Source organism: Homo sapiens, chromosome 13 (assembly GCF_000001405.40).
Source record: "Homo sapiens chromosome 13, GRCh38.p14 Primary Assembly".
In the NCBI taxonomy this organism is placed as follows: Eukaryota; Metazoa; Chordata; class Mammalia; order Primates; family Hominidae; genus Homo; species Homo sapiens.
In genome coordinates this window covers 27,184,688-27,201,204 of record NC_000013.11, presented here as the reverse complement: position 1 = coordinate 27,201,204, position 16,517 = coordinate 27,184,688, and the positions used below count along the sequence as shown (strand labels likewise).

The 16,517-nt window shown below is 42.6% G+C and overlaps 1 annotated feature.

The window, feature by feature from the left end:
* Positions 5,193 to 6,392: an enhancer, noted in NCBI's record as "P300/CBP strongly-dependent group 1 enhancer chr13:27768950-27770149 (GRCh37/hg19 assembly coordinates)". NCBI's record gives its function as "activates an origin of replication core promoter dependent on BRD2, BRD4, P300/CBP, MED14 and CDK7 cofactors, with strong dependence on P300/CBP, by STARR-seq in HCT116 cells {active_cell/tissue: HCT116}" and the evidence as "EXISTENCE:reporter gene assay evidence [ECO:0000049][PMID:35650434]".

The following is a 16,517-nucleotide window of genomic DNA, read 5'->3' as shown; positions in this document are numbered from 1 at the left end:
CAGTTTATTGACATTAGATTAGACCTTTTGTCCTCCAATTATACTTCTGTGTTCCTGAAAATACACATTTTCCCGTTTTTTCTTTTGTTTGCTTTTTTTGATCTTCATTTCTGAAGATTCCCATGTCATGTAAAATATATGTTAAACAAATGTGTATGCTTTTCTCTTGTTAATCTGTCTTCTGTTATAGGATCTCAGTCATGAGCTTTGTCCTGGGGGAGGAAAAGATACTAGAGTACATTTACATTTTACAATGAACACTGCTGAGTGGGCCCAGGTCATCAGGTGCAGTTCACATCACACAGTCATTTGTGACCCAGAGTCAGATGCCTAGTCTGTATCTGGGCCCTGTAAGTCCAGGAACTGCTTTTCAGGTGAAAAACAGTTGTCAGTAGAAGAGGTCACAGCTTTACTCGGGTTGCACTGGGTCTTGCTAGGGTCCCCATATAGCAGCTCTGTCTGCCACAGATTCTTCCACTCCATTGGGTCTGCTTGTGATGCAGCCTGGACTTGTCAGAACCTCTTTCTACTCTGTGCCCACTCAAAACTGTCAGTCTTATCAGGTGAATAATCCAGTAATGAGATTAGAGGAACACACCAAAGTATGATTCATGTTGTCTTTAAAATCCAAAGAAACCCACTAAGCATTGTGCCTCCTACATGACAGGTGGGGCAAGGGGTAAGCATGATCTCATGATCTCTCCCTTTTTCTTTTAATGTTTGTTTGTTTTTTTTCTTTTTGAGTCAGGGATCTCTCTCTGTCACCCAGGTTGGAGTGCAGTGGCACAATCACAGCTCACTGCAGCCTTGCCCCCAGGCTCAAGCAATCCTCTCACCTCAGACTCCTGAGGAGTAGCTGGGACTACAGGTGCATGCCACTGTGCCTGGATTTTTTTTTTTTTTTTCATAGAGATAGAGTCTCACTATGTTGCCCAGGCTGGTCTCAAAACTCCTGGGCTCAAGCGATCCTCCTGCCTCGGCCTCCCAAAGTGCTGGGATTACAGGCATGAGCCACTGTGCCTGGCCAATCTTCCCCTTTAGAAGGAGATATTCCAAGAAACCACTGGACTCTCAGGAACTTCATCAGTATATCAGGACCCTGAACTTCCCAGGGAATTATTTCCCAGCTTGTTGGCAAGCATGTGTTTTACCAGTGGATCTAAGCTCCTTTCTGCTCACTAGATCCAATTAGCATAATATCATCCATGTAATGAACCCATGTGACTTTCTGTAGAACAGCAAGACAAACAGGGTTCCTCTATATTATATTATGACAGCAGGGGTTGACTTAGCCCTGAGGCAGGACAGTTAAGATATATTGCTGTCCTTGACACACGAAGGCAAACTGCTTTTAGTTATTTTTCCTGATATAGAAGGGGGGTAGTGAAAGAATTTTCTAGGTCATTAGCTGTAAATGAGGTGCTGGAAAGTGTTGCCTTTGGAGCAGCCAACCCACAGCAACCCTGCCGAGAGAAGGCAGGGTGATAAATATGTCAACCTCACTTGGCTCCTGTATTAGGGTTCTCCAGAGAGACAGAACCAATAGATATATATGTATCTAATATATCTATATGTACATATAATATATATGTATTAAATAGATACATGAGAGGAGATTTACTAGAAGAATCGGCCCACTTGATTTATGGAGGCTGAGAGGTCCCAAAACAGGCCATGTGCAAGCTGGACACCCTGGGATTCCAGTAGCATGGCTCAGTCCAAGTCCAAAAGCCTCAGAATCAGGGAAGCAGATAGTGTAACTCCCAGTCTGAGGCTGTAAACCTGAGAACCTGGATGGCCATCGGTGTACATCCTGGAGTCCAAAGGCCAGAGGGCCTGGGGTTCTGATGCTCAAGGCAGGAAAAGAAGAGTATATCCCAGCTCCCAAAGAAAGAGACCGATACAGCTTTTCTGTTTGTATTCTATCTGGGACCTCAGCTGATTGGATGGTGCCCACCTGCATTATTGAGGCTGGTCTTGCCCACTGAGTCCACTCAGACTCACATGCTAATCTCTTCTGGAAACACCTTCACAATTCCTTTATTATTTTTTTTTTCTTTTCGAGACTGAGTCTCCCTCTGTCACCCAGGCTGGGGTACAGTGGCGTGATCTTGGCTCACTACAACCTCTGCCTCCTGTGTTCAAGTGATTCTCCTGCCTCAGCCTCCCGAGTAGGTGGGATTACAGGTGTGCACCACCACGCCAGCTAATTTTTTTGTATTTTTAGTAGAGATGGTGTTTTGCCATGTTGGCCAGGCTGGTCTCAAACCCCCGACCTCAGTGATCCGCCCACCTCGGCCTCCCAAAGTGCTGGGATTACAGGTGTGAGCCACTGCACCTGTCCTCTAGATATTCTTTAATCCAGTCAAGTCGATACCTTTAAAAAGATTCTTTTTTTTTTTTCTTTTCTTTTTTTTTTTTTTTGAGACAGGGTCTCTCTCTGTCACCCTGGCTGGAATGCAGCAGGCCCGAGAGATTCTCCCACCCCAGCCTCCCAAGTTGCTGGGACTACAGGCACGTAACACCACACCCAGCTAATTCTTTTGTATTTTTTATAGAGACAGGGTTTTACCATGTTGCCCAGTCTAGTCTTGAACTCCTGGGCTCAAAGCTATCTACCCGTCCTGGCCTTCCATAGTGCTGGGATTACCAGGTGTGAGCCATCATGCCCAGCCTTTAAGACATTTTTTAAAAAGCTGATGTTGTGAAAGACCAATTTGAGCCAATAGAATACATTACTTCAGAGAATGGGAGACATATAATGCAAGAAATAGAACTAAAAAAAAAAGACCTTCCTAAGCTAAGCCCCAGAAGACATGCGATTTATCTACTGAAAAAAAGAACAGAAACAGATGGCCACGAAAAAAGAACACTCAAAAAATATGAAAAAAATTCTCAAAAATTAGAATCATGATTGCCAAAACGAAAACTTAAAATAGAAGGACTGAATGAAGTAGAAGATTGTGTAGTGATCTAAAAGATATGGACAAAGAGATATCCCAAAATACAGAGCCATAATGAGGGAAAGTGAAAAAACAGAGAGAACTCACTATCAATCTAATAGAAGTTCCTGGAGGAGAGAATGGTGAATGAAGAGAAAGCATTTAGAGAAATGAAAGATAATTTCCCTGAACTGAAGAAAAATTCAAGTGTTCATATTGAAAAAGACAATAGTACCAAATACAATGAATGAAAAAAAGAGGATCACACTTAGACATATTATGGTGAGATTTCAGAATGTCAAGTTTAAAAAAGAAAACCCTAAAGTTTTGCAGAGAAGAAATCAAAGTTTCTTAGGTGGAAATGAAGAACAAATTGGCATCAGATATATGTAAAGCAACATGGCTAAAAGACAACGAAACAGTGACCCCAAATTCATAAGGAAAACTGATTTTAACCTAGAAACTGACATCCAGTCAAATAGGCAGCTGTGAGAATAAAATAAAAAGCACTCACAAAGTTTATCTCTACATATACCTTTTCTGAAAAAATTAACTGAGGATGTGCTCCTTCCAATCAGAACAGGAATCCAAGAGGGAGACATGAAGCCCAAGAACAAGGGCAGTCACCTAGGAAATCATTGAGAAGGAAGCTCAGTTGTAATTTGTGTAACAGGCTTAGAAAGTCATCAGTTCAAGGCCAGATGCGGTGGCTCACACGTGTCATCCCAGCACTTTGGGAGGCTGAGGTGGGTGGATCACCTGAGGTCAGGAGTTCAAGACCAGCCTGGCCAACATGGCAAAACCCTGTCTCTACTAAAAGTACAAAAAAATTAGCTGCATGTGGTGGTGGCAGGCATCTGTATTCCTAGCTACTCGCAAGGCTGAGGCAGGAGGATCACTTGAACCCTGGAGGCGGAGGTTGAGACACCACTGCACTCTAGCCTGGGCAACAGCACAAGACTCCATCTCAAAAAAAGAAAAAAAAGAAAGAAAGAAAGTCATCAGTTCATATTATAGCAGGAAGTCAAGGGCCTGCAATAATAATATCTTTTTTTTTTTTTTTTGAGACAGGGTCTTGCTCTGTCACCCAGGCTGGAGTGCTCTGGTGCCATCATAGCTCAAGGTAGCCTTGATGTCCTGGGCTCAAGTGATCCTCTTACCTCACCCTCCTGAGTAGCTAGGACTACAGGCATGTGCCACCATGCTCAGCTAATTTTTTAATTTTAATTTTTGTAGAGATGGGGTCTCACTGTGTTGCCCAGGCTGGTCTCAAACTCCTGGTCTCAAGGCATCTGCTCACCTCGGCCTCCAAAAGTTCTGGGATTACAGAGGTGGGCAGATAGCTTGAGCTCAGGAATTTGACACCAGCCTGAGCAACATGGTGAAACCCCGTCTCTACTGAAAATACAAAAACTAGCTGGGCATGGCGGTGCATGCCTGTAGTCCCAGCTACTCGGGAAGCTGAGGTGAGAGGATCACCTGAGCACGGGAGGATGAGGCTGCAGTAAGCCATGATCACACCAGTGCACTCCAGCTTGGGTGACAGAGTGAGACTCTGTCTTTTAAAAAAAACCCAAAAACCAAAAAACAAATGAAAAAACCGAAGCTAACTAAAATATGACATGATTTTGAGCTATGTATTGAATTTGGAAAAATATTCCATTAAATCATGGCAGATTTAATAACATAGAATATGTTCCCTTTTCTATGGGTTTAGTCATATTACTCGTTTCTGCAGTGCACCTATATACAAAACACAAAAGAATCATAGTTAACAGAATGAAGAGGTAAGGACAGTGGCAGAATTGAATAGAAATCAGGGAAGGAGAAGCGAGGTGGGAAGCCCTGTAGATGCCACATGTCCTCATCTTACAGAGTGGCTCTCAGGAGGGCTGAAAAGGGAGAGTGGTTACCCCTGGGGAGTGGGAGAGGAGCAGGCGCTGGGGGAGAGGAGGAAGGAGAGCTCTACTGCAGCCCCTGGCTTCTACAGGCTCCTGGCTTTGGTCTCTAGAGAAGCCAGATTCTCAACTACCACTGCCTGTTTGAGACCCACGGCCCCTGGTCCTAGTTTCTGCCTCATTCAGCTCTCTCTTGTTTCTGGTCCATGTAAATAATTGTCTTGTTTCTGAGCCATGCTATATCTTTTTTGGTTTTCTCTTTGTGTATTAGTTTGACATTGTTGAATGTGTGCAGCAGATGGCATGCATCTTATGGGGCCACCTTGACTGGAAAGCCATTATATTCCTTTTATAATTTAAAAAATGAGATCTTAAAATGCAGAAAGGGCATTCCTTTCTACTGGTAGGATCTCTTCTGCCACATACTGATATTGTTTAGTTATTATTTTCTGTACATCTGCAAAACCAGAGTGTATCTTTCAAATCAATATAGGATCTCTTTTCTGAACTCCAACACATGGTTATTCCATGAGGGAAACTGAGGCACAGAGAAGGAAATCATAGGAGTTCTGGTCGTTCACCCTCCCTCCACCTGTGAATGCCCCTCCCTCCCCGCAAACTCTCAAGCTTTGCTTTAGTGAAGAGCACATTCAAATACCACGGTGGTCAGAGATGCCAATGTATAATCCCCACGTGCTATATGTTTATACCATCTCCTGTATTTTGACAAGCATCCCCTTCAGCACATTTGTCCTTTCAGGTATCTTTAAGTCACTCCTGCTCCCGTTTCCTTCCGTTCAACCCCTAGTGGAGATGACCATACTCCTGGTCATCTTCCTCCTTCTTCTCCTGCTCCTACTCCCTCCTCCTCTGTGCAGAGACCTTTGTATAGCAAGGGATCATTATTTAGTCACCCTCTAGCCATCTCTTTCCCTGGCTGACTCATTCCTTAACAGTGCGTCCTAGGTCTTATTGTTTTGAGCTATTAGTCATCCTGGTGGCTTTTCTTTGAAATCTCCCCAAGTGCCTTCCCTTTCCTTTACGCTGTGGAGGTTGAATGGGACGCACACTCTGCCAAGCATTTCCAGGAGGGCTGAGGACATAATCTAGCTTATGATTCTATAAGACACAATAAGTAAACCATTGACAATTATACCCTAACAAATAAATAAACAAATAAGTCAATCTTGGGGCAGCCTTCCCTGTGTTTGAATATTTTCATTATGTTTCTTGCTCAGAGGCAGTTTGTTATCCACCCAGCTGGGGAATGGAATGCTCCTTTCCTCTCTAATATCCATTCTCTCCTTTGTTTGTGCTAGAACCCCCAGTTATTAGCTAGGCACACGCCCACCCAGAATAAAGACTATTTCCTAGCCTCCTGATTGCTAGACAAGACTATGAGACCAAATTTTGGCCAATGGGATGTTAATGGAAATGTTGGATGTAATAGCTGATAAATATTTTTATTTATTTCTTTATTTTGGAGACAGAATCTTGCTTTTACTGCTCAAGCTGGAGTGCAGTGGTGCCATCAAAGCTCACTGCAGCCTCAACCTCCTGGGATCAAGTGATCCTCCCGCCTCAGCCTCCTGAGTAGCTGGGACCACAGTTGTCAGCCATCATGCCCAACTAATTTTTAAAATTTTCGTAGACACAGAGTCTCCCTACATTGCCCATCCTGGTCTCAGTAACTCCCGGGCTCAATCAGTTCTCCTGCCTCAGCTTCCCAAAGTGCTGGAATTATAGGGGTGAGCCACAAAGGCCAGTCTGTGAAGTGTTTTTAAATGGTAAGGTGTAGGTTCATTTTTGCACCTTCCTCCTCCTCACTGCTTGGAAAAAGGAGATGAGATGGTAGGAGCCAAGCAGACTTCCAGGACCAGGAAGCCGACAGAGCAGGAGGGAGAAAGGAGCCTGAATCCAGGTGATTGTGCAATCTTGGGCTGCCTACTTTCCGGCTTATTTTATGTGTGAGAGAAACTAATTTCTGTATTTCTAAACTGCTGGGGTTTTTGTGTGTATGTGTCTGAGTGTGTGGGCATGGGGTGGGATGGTTATTTGTTTATTTCACGTAGCTAAACCTAATCCTAACTGATTCAATGGCCCTTAGAGAGTGTTTCTATTTTTTGCTTTGTTTTACTTGCACAGGCTATTATAGATTGAAAATGTCTAGCTGGTGGTAATTTACTTTCCTCTGTGTGTGACTAGCTCAGGTATACCAGATGCTTATTCTATACCCGGTACTTTTTATGTCTTGTCTCATTCAATCTTGACATAAACCTATGAAACTATTATTATTTCCATTTTAAATGAGCGTATACCAACACTCAGAGGTTAAGTAACATGTTCGAGGTCACAGAGATGGTAAATAGCAGACCCAGGATTTGCATCTGGGCGGCCTGGCTCCAGAGCCCCCTGTCTTGAGTGCCACACTGTGGAACTCTTTGAAAACTGACTCTATTCCCCAAGAACCTACCGAGAAGGTGTTAATAATAGAACCTCTCTTGAGTCCCTGCTATGTGCAGGTACTGCATTGTACAGAAAGCAGATTCTAGAAAGGCTGCCCAGTCCTGAGTGTAGGGAGAGTGACGTCGGTGAAGTGGCGAAGGGCTTGAATCGTGCTGCAGCCTTGCCTTGTCCCGGGCACCTTTCAGTGCTGCTGGCTTCTGCAGTTCCCTTTTCTCTTCACTGATTTTGAAATGGTGATTGATAGGGGACTTCTATTTTTTTTTTTTTTTTTTTTTTTGACAGTCTCACTCTTTTGCCCAGGCTGGAGTGCAGTGGTGTGATCTCGGCTCACCGCCTCCTGGGTTCCCTCCTGCCTTCAGCTCCCGGGCTCAACCTCCGCCTCCCAGGTTCAAACAACTCTCCTGCCTCAGCCTCCCAAGTACCTGGATTACAGGCACATGCCACCACACCTGGCTAATTTTTGTATTTTTAGTAGAGATGGGGTTTCATCATGTTGGTCAGGCTGGTCTCAAACTCCTGACCTCAAGTGATCCACCCACCTTGGCCTCCCGAAGTGCTGGTGTTACAGGCATGAGCCACCATGCCAGGCCAGATGACTTCCTTTTGAAATTCAGTAATCCAGGACTCTTTTTTGTACTTTTGTCTAAATATTTTTCCTAAATTGTTTCATATGGACTTTCCTGTTGTTTTATGTTGAGAATTTTTTGGTATCATAAAAATCTTACTCATTGTATATAAATGATACTACTTCTGTAAAGTGGTGACACTGAGGTACATCTTGTCTTATTGACTCATATTCAAACTCATTATGAGACAAAAGAATATGAGGTATAAAAATAAGGTCATCTCTCAGCTCCAGGCTAGTACCTGGAAATAATTAGAGATGAGCTAAGCTACAAGTAAAGTCAAATAATTAAAAGATTTTTTTAACTGTTACTTTTATAAACTAACAGACTAAAATTTGTTTAAAATGTATCACAGGCCAGGTGAAGTGGCTCACACCTGTAATCCAAGCACTTTGGGAGGCCGAGGCGGGCACATCTCTTGAGCCCAGGAGTTTGAGACCAGCTTGGGCAGCATAGTGAGTGAGACCCTGTATTAGTCTGTTTTCATGCTGCTGATAAAGACATACTGGAGACTGGAAATTTACCAAGGAAAGTGGTTTAATGGAGAACTCACAGTTCCATGTGGCTGGGGAAGCCTCACAATCATGGCTGAAGGCAAGGAGGAGGAAGTCACATCTTATGTGGCAGGCAAAGAGACGGCTTGTGCAGGGAAACTCCCCTTTATAAAACCATCAGATCTCATGGGACTTATTCACTGTCACAAGAACAGCATGGGAAAGACCTGCTCCCATGATTCAATTACCTCCCACAGGGTCCCTCCCACAACATGAGGGAATTCAAGATGAGAGTTGGGTGGGGACACAGCCAAACCATATCAGACTCCCTCTCTACAAAAATAAACAAAAATTAGCTGAGCATGGTGGCACATGCTAGTGGTCCCAGCTACTTGAAAGGCTGAGATAGGAGGACTGTTCCAGCCCCAGAGGTTGAAGCTGCAGTGAGTTGAGGCTGTGCCACTGCATTCTAGCGTGGGTGACAGAGAGAGACCCTGTCTCAAAAAAAAAAAAAAAAATATATATATATATATATATATATATATATATTCCTTTCTAGACTAAAGCCTTTAGAAAATTCAATACTCAATATAATTAATAAACAGGACTGGGCACAGTGGCTCATGACTGTAATCCTAGCACTTTGGGAGGCCAACGTGGGCAGATTGCCTGAGCTCAGGGGTTGGAGACCAGCCTGGATAACATGGAGAAACCCCGTCTCTACTAAAAATACAAAAAACAACATATATTTAATAATCAGTTGATTAATGACACATGAAAACAGCAGTTCTTATTTGTCCTCCCTACTTTTTAGCTATTCTTGAATGGGAGAAGACAAGTTTCCATTTCCATATCAAAAAATTATGAAAGCATGGTGAACATCTGATGCAAATTAGGCTACCCTTTCCTGTAAAATTCTGTCATAAATCGGACAAAGGCCATTCTGTAGGTTGCCTCTGTATAATTCTTGAATATCAACCTTACCTTTCTTCTGAGTCTTGCGATGAAAACATGACTCAGAACCTAGAATGAATCCTACATGTTACGATTTTGAACCAGTATTCTAAATTAGATTCTCTGATGCTTTTTTTTCTTGTTGATGCATTATAATAATACAAACAACACCAGTTGCAGGATATAAGAACTGCTTTTCCTAGAAAAATTGGTTATCCAAATAATAGGCTATGAACTACTCAACTAGTTCTTGAATATGGAAGCAGTATAGTTTCTGCAGTACTTTGAAGCACTATAAGAAGACATAGTTAAGCATAAAAACAACTTAAAAAGAAACAAACTGATTTTGATCACATACACACAAAAAACTCTATGACAAAAATATGGCATCCAAAAAAGAAAAAAACATACTACAAATTCATGGAAATATTTAAGATGAAAATATAGAGAACTCAACAGAAATAACTTAAAAAGCCCTAGGACAAAAACAGAAGCCTGGGCCAGGTGCAGTGGCTACGCCTGCAATCCCAGCACTTTGGGAGGCCGAGGCAGGCAGATCATGAGGTCAAGAGATCAAGACCATCCTGGCCAACATGGTGAAACCCCATCTCTATGAAAAATACAAAAATTAGCTGGGTGTGGTGGCAGGTGCCTGTAGTCCCAGCTACTCGGGAGGCTGAGGCAGGAGAATCGCTTGAACCCAGGAGGTGGAGTTTGCAGTGAGACGAGATAGCACCACTGCACTCCAGCCTGGCGACAGAGCAAGACTCCATTTCGGAAAAAAAACAAAACAAAAAAGCAAAACAGAAGCCTGGGCAAAGATGACAGATACATAATTCACAAAAAAGGAAAGGCAATTGCTAATAAACATAAGAAAGGTTCCTGTTGCAACCAAGCAAAGAAATACAATTTGAAATGCAGAGTGGTTTTAAATAGCTCATATGAGCAAATATTTAAAAATAATACACCGTCTGATAGAAGTGATATTAGTGGACATCCTTCTTTGCTCTTGATCTTGGGGAAGAGCATTGGTCTGTCACCATGAAGTATGTTGCTAGTTGTACATTTTTCATAGATACTGTTGATCACATTGAGAAAGCTCCTTTCTATTCCTAAATTCCCTTTTGTTCCCTTTTTTTACAGTAATACACAATATTGGCAACAATGCAACAAAATGGACACACTCTACTCTCCAGCGGGAGTGTAAGTTTGTATGCTCTCTCCAGAAGTCAATTTAACAATATGTATTAAATATTTTAATGCCATATTTTATGTCAATGCTTTTATTTGTAGTTATCTGACTTAAGAAAATAATCTGATATACAGTTAAAGAATTAATTGCAAACATATTCATCACAATGCTATTTATAATAATGACAAATTAAAAGTAACATAAGGTCAATATTAGAATGGGTAAGATAATTATGGTCAAACATAAAAGAATAAAATGCAGCCATTCAATTTCTATTTACAGGCTGGGTGTGGTGGCTCACACCTATCATCCCAGCACTTTGGGAGGCTGAGGCGGGTAGATCACCTGAGGTCAGGAGTTTGAGACCAGCCTGGCCAACATGGTGAAACTCCATCTCTACTAAAAATACAAAAATTAGCTGGGCTTGGTGGCGCATGCCTTTAATCCTAACTACTCGGGAAGCTCAGGTAGGAGAATCACTTGAACCTGGGAGGCAGAGGTTTCAGTGATCTTGATCATACCACTGCACTCCAGCCTTGGCGACAGAGGGAGACTCCGTTTAAAAAAAAAAAAAAAGGCCGGGCGCGGTGGCTTATGCCTGTAATCCCAGCACTTTGGGAGGCCGAGGCGGGCGGATCACGAGGTCAGGAGATCAAGACCGTCCTAGCTAACACGGTGAAACCCCATCTCTACTAAAAATACAAAAAAATTAGCTGGGCGTGGTGGTGGGCACATGTAGTCCCAGCTACTCCGGAGGCTGAGGCAGGAGAATGGCGTCAACCCAGGAGATGAAGCTTGCAGTGAGCTGAGATCACGCCACTGCACTCCAGCCTGGGTGACAGAGCAAGGTTCCATCTCAAAATAATAATAATAATAATAATAATAATAATTGTATTTACAAAAGCTTTTTAATGCTATGGGGAACAAAGAAAAAATATAATAAAGATTACAGGTCAGGTCTGGCCTGGTCTATGAACTTGGTTTCAGAGCCAAGTAGGTGAGGTGAAGGGATTTAAGGTGACAGGGTCAGTATCCCAGTCAGGGACATGACATTGGAACCAGAGATCTGAGTGAAGACTCACATTATGGTAACAAGACCAGAACTCTAGGTTTAGTGAGGGAAGGGCTAGAACAAAATAGGAAAAAGAGAAAAAAGAGAGGTCATTAGTGGGGAAAGGTAGGCCAGAGAGCAGGCAGAGACCACATGACCTTAATATGGAAAACAAAACATTCTTGTGTAGGTCCACTCATGCTCAGTGCCACTGAAAAATCCAGCTCTCCAGTTTTCTATATGCAGAGAAAAAAGACAGGAAGGAAATATGCCAAAATAGTCACAGTGATTTTGTCTGAGTGGTGAATTATGGCTGATTCTTTGTTCTTTTTATATTTCCAAATTTTTATAAGAGCACAGAAATACTTTTAAGAATTTCTGACTACAAAAAATTGGTTTTTTAATTCCCTGTGCCAAGTTCAGAAATATGCCATAATGGAACAAGATAACTAAAAGAAGAAAACTACCTCAAGGTATGTCCTTTTTAATCTACAGTCCAATTCCCAATTGCTTTATAAATGGGCTTTTCTCCCCCGATCTCCTCAGGGCATTGCAATCACCTATACCAACTGGAGAATTTTCAAATACATGTTTTTTCAAACTGTTGTGTCAAGTTTGGCAGCTGATGGGTAGTTTTTTTCTTTAATAACTGCTCTTATATATTCATTCATTCATTCACTGTTTCCATTAGCTGTTGAGGGTACCACAAAGTTGAAGTAAGTCTCTTTACAGATCTTATGTTCAAATTCTTTCTGAGGTATGTTTTCTTTCTTTCTTTTTTTTTTTCTGTCTGTTTGTAGAGAAGGGTCTCACTATGCTGCCAGGGCTGGTTTTTAACTCCTGGGCTCAAGCAATCCACACGCCTTGGCCTCCAAAAGTGCTGGGATTATAGGTATGAGCCACTGTGCCTGGCCATGTGGTATGTTTTCTAGGAGTAGTGCAAATGAAGTGAAGCAGGAATCTTAAAAGAATGAGAGAATATTATAGAAGCCTGATTTCTGCCTGAAGAGATCAGGCTGACTTGGCAGAGGAGGTGACATTTGAACTTTACCTTAAAGTAAATGGATTCCACCAGGTAGAGAGGGGAGGGTATCATAACCTTCCCGGGGCAAGAACTATGTGTATCTTGTTCACTACTGATTGCCCAGAAACTAGCGTTGGCCCTGAAACCTAGTAGGTGTTGCACAAATATTTATTTAATGAATGTTTGAGGGCGGGGTAGAGATAAGAGACAGCATAATCAAATTCTCAGGGGCAGAGAAACAAGGTTTATTCATACAAAAGCTAGTTAACTCTTGTGGAAGGATAAGCCATATGAATAGCAATATCGGAAATTTAAACTGGACAGCTATATTGAATTATGGTTGGGTTAGACTAAAAAGTACTCAATTAATAGATAATCATGATGGTGGTGGCTGGGCGCGGTGGCTCACGCCTGTAATCCTAGCACTTTGGGAGGCTAAGGCGGGTGGATCACCTGAGCTCAGGAGTTTGAGACCACCCTGGCCAATGTGGTGAAACCCCATCTCTACTAAAAATACAAAAAAAATTAGCTAGGCATGGTGGCACACACCTATAATCCCACCTACTGAGGAGGCTGAGGCATGCGAATTGCTTGAACCCGGGAGGCAGAGATTGTAGTGAGCTGAAATCACACCACTGCACTCCAGCCTGGGTGACAAAGTGAGACTCCATCTCAAAAAAAAAAAAAAAAAAAAAAAGACACCATCTAAAAAAACGAAAGAAAGAAAAAAGATAATCATGATCATGTTGGTGGATGGAAATGTTAATCTGGAATGATTTCAAAATCAATAGATAGATCAAAGGTGAATAAATCAATTACAAATCTATTAAAAGAGAATTGGGGAAATGTGCACAGGGACTGGATATTTAATAATGTGGAAAAAATATTGTTCATTTCAGTGTGATAAAAATATTTTGGTTATCTTTCAGAGAAACATAATAAAATATTTACAGAGAAAATGATCTGATGTGTAAATTTGCTTCTAAATCATTCTGGGGATTGTGGGGTATTGGTCTAGATGAAACAAGCATGACTAGGTATTGAAAACTGATAAACCTGGGGGATGGCAAAGAAACTTTCTGGGGTGATGGAAATGTTCTGTGTGTTGATTGGGGGTGACAGTTAAACAGGTATATAGATTTATCAAAAAATCCATGCTTTTTGCTTTTTTTTTTTTTTTGAGGCAAAGTCTTGCTTTGTTACTCAGGCTGGAGTACAGTGGCACAATCTTGGCTCACTGCGGCCTCTGCCTCCAGGGTTCAAGCAATTCTTCTGCCTCAGCTTCCTGAGTAGCTAGGACTACAGGCGCTTGCTAGCACACCTGGCTAATTTTTGTACTTTTAGTAGAGATGGGGTTTCTATGTTGGCCAGGCTGGTCTCGAACTCCTGGCCTCAAGTGATCTGCCCACCGTGGCCTCCCAAAGTGCTGGGATTATAGGCGTGAGCCACCATGCCCAACCTTTTTATTTATTTTATTATTTAATTCTTTTGAGACATAATCTCGCTCTGTCGCCCAGGCTGGAGTGCAGTGGTGCAATTTCGGCTCACTGCAACCTCCGCCTCCCTGGTTCAAGCGGTTCTCCTGTCTCAGCCTCCCAAGTAGCAGGGACTACAGGTGCACACCACCACACTGGCTAATTTTTATGTTTTTAGTAAAGACAGGGTTTCACCATATTGGCCAGGCTGGTCTCAAACTCCTGACCTCAAGTGATCTACCTGCTTTGGCCTTCCAAAGTGCTGGGATTACACGTGTGAGTCACTGCACCCAGCCTATTTATTTATTTATTTGCATGCATTTTACTATATATAAGTTTTATGTAGAAAAGCTGGATGATGTATAGATTAGGTTCATTTTACAATTCGAATTTTTTTTATGTTTGATAATTTCCATAATAAAAGGTTAAAAAAACGAAAAGAAGAGAAAGAAAAAAGGAAAGAAGCAGAAGGAAGAACTCTGCTGCAGTACTGGAAGCAGGCAGATTATTTAAATTACGGTGGTGCCATGGAACAAGAGAAGGCAGATGAAGAGCGACACCCTTCAAGTTAACACAGGTAATGAATCACTTCCATGGAACGGGTTCTGCCTCCCTGGAGCACTAACGCAGAACCCAGTATTGAAGAAAACCAGATGGGTTACTTTGACTCAAGCATTAAAAGGAAAGAGCACAAAAGAATTATTCCATCTTTTTCTGGCCCAGTTTCCATTAAAATGCCCAGTTGATATTCTCATCCATAAACTTGCTACTCTATCATTTCTCAAGGTAAAAATGGTGAGAGGAAGAAATTTTCTTTGATGTGCTTTTGGTTATAGGATTGAGACTTTCTCAGATGACTTAATAATATACCCAGGAGGAAGGTATTTAGGGCTTTCCAGGGCAGGGTTTAATCCTAAAGCAATCTAGCAATGAGATTAGTGTTCCTGGATGTCTTGTTTCTGTCAAAACTATCTCCAAAGAACAGACCCTACTGCCATTCTCCTTTCTCTAGATTTCTGTTTTTATTTTTTATTTTTTTAATTCTTTTGAGGCATAGTCTCATTCTGTTGCCCAGGCTGGAGTGCAGTGGCACAATCTTGGCTCACTGCAACCTCTGCCTCCCAGGTTCAAGCAATTCTCCTGCCTCAGCCCCCCGAGTAGCAGGGATTACAGGCGTGCACCACCACGCCCAGCTAATTTTTTTTTGAGATGGAGTCTCGCTCTGTTGCCCAGGCTGGAGTCCAGTGACGTGATCTCAGCTCACTGCAACCTCTGCCTCCCAGGTTCAAGCGATTCTCTGCCTCAGCCTCCCAAGGAGCTGGGATTGCAGGCGTGCACCACCACGCCCAGCTAATTTTTGTATTTTTAGTAGAGATGGGGTTTCACTATATCCATCTACCTTGACCTCCCAAAGTGCTGGGATTACAGGCCAGGCATGAACCACCGCGCCCAGCCCCAGCTGATTTTTTTTTTTTTTTTTTGTATTTTTAGTAGAGATGGGGTTTTGCCGTGTTGGCCAGTCTAGTCTCAAACTCCTGACCTCAGGTGATCTGCCCACCTTGGTGTCCCAAACTGCTGGGATTACAGGCGTGAGTCACAATGCCTGGCCTGATTTTTGTTTTAATTTTTAATATTTAAAGGATAGCAATCTCTCTGGGTATACTTTCTACTGATTTGATTTCATGATAGCTAAAAATCTGTGTTGCTTAAAGCAAAAGTTAGGTAGCAGCAATGGTGGAGGGGTTTTCATGACAAGGTTCACTGGTGTTGAGCATATACAACTGTAAACAAGTGATCCTATTGCCTCAGCCTCTGGAGTAGCTGGGACTCCAGGCACGCCACCACACCTGGCTAATTTTTAAAATTCCTTCTAGGGATGGAGTCTTGCTACATTGCCCAGGCCGGTCTCGAACTCCTGGACTCCAGGGATCCTCCAGCTTTGCCTCCCAAAGCTGTGGGATTACAGGCACGAGCCACCTTGCCTGGCCCCATGCTTCTTCCCTACTCTCAGAATGCTTGTTTGGCCAGGATGGGGCCCTCTTCCCTCACATAGCCTTGTGGCTTATGGGGAGCTGAGTCCTAGCCCCAGCTCCAGGAGCAAGACTGCTTAATCAAAGGAAATCCTCGACCTGTACCCTCAACAGTGAATCGTTCAGAAATTAACTTCTGTCTCTTTCCCCTACTTAAATGGAAACTCCAAGAGGGAGTGGATGTCTATCTGTTTTGCCAAGAACCTAGAACAGTGCCTGGCACGTAGTCCTTTTTTTTTTTTTTTTTTTTTTTTTTTTTTGTTGAGATGGAGTCTTGTTCTGTTGCTCAGGCTGGAGTGTAGTGGCACAATCTCGGCTCACTGCAACCTCCATCTCCCGTGTTCAAGCGATTCTCTTGTCTCAGC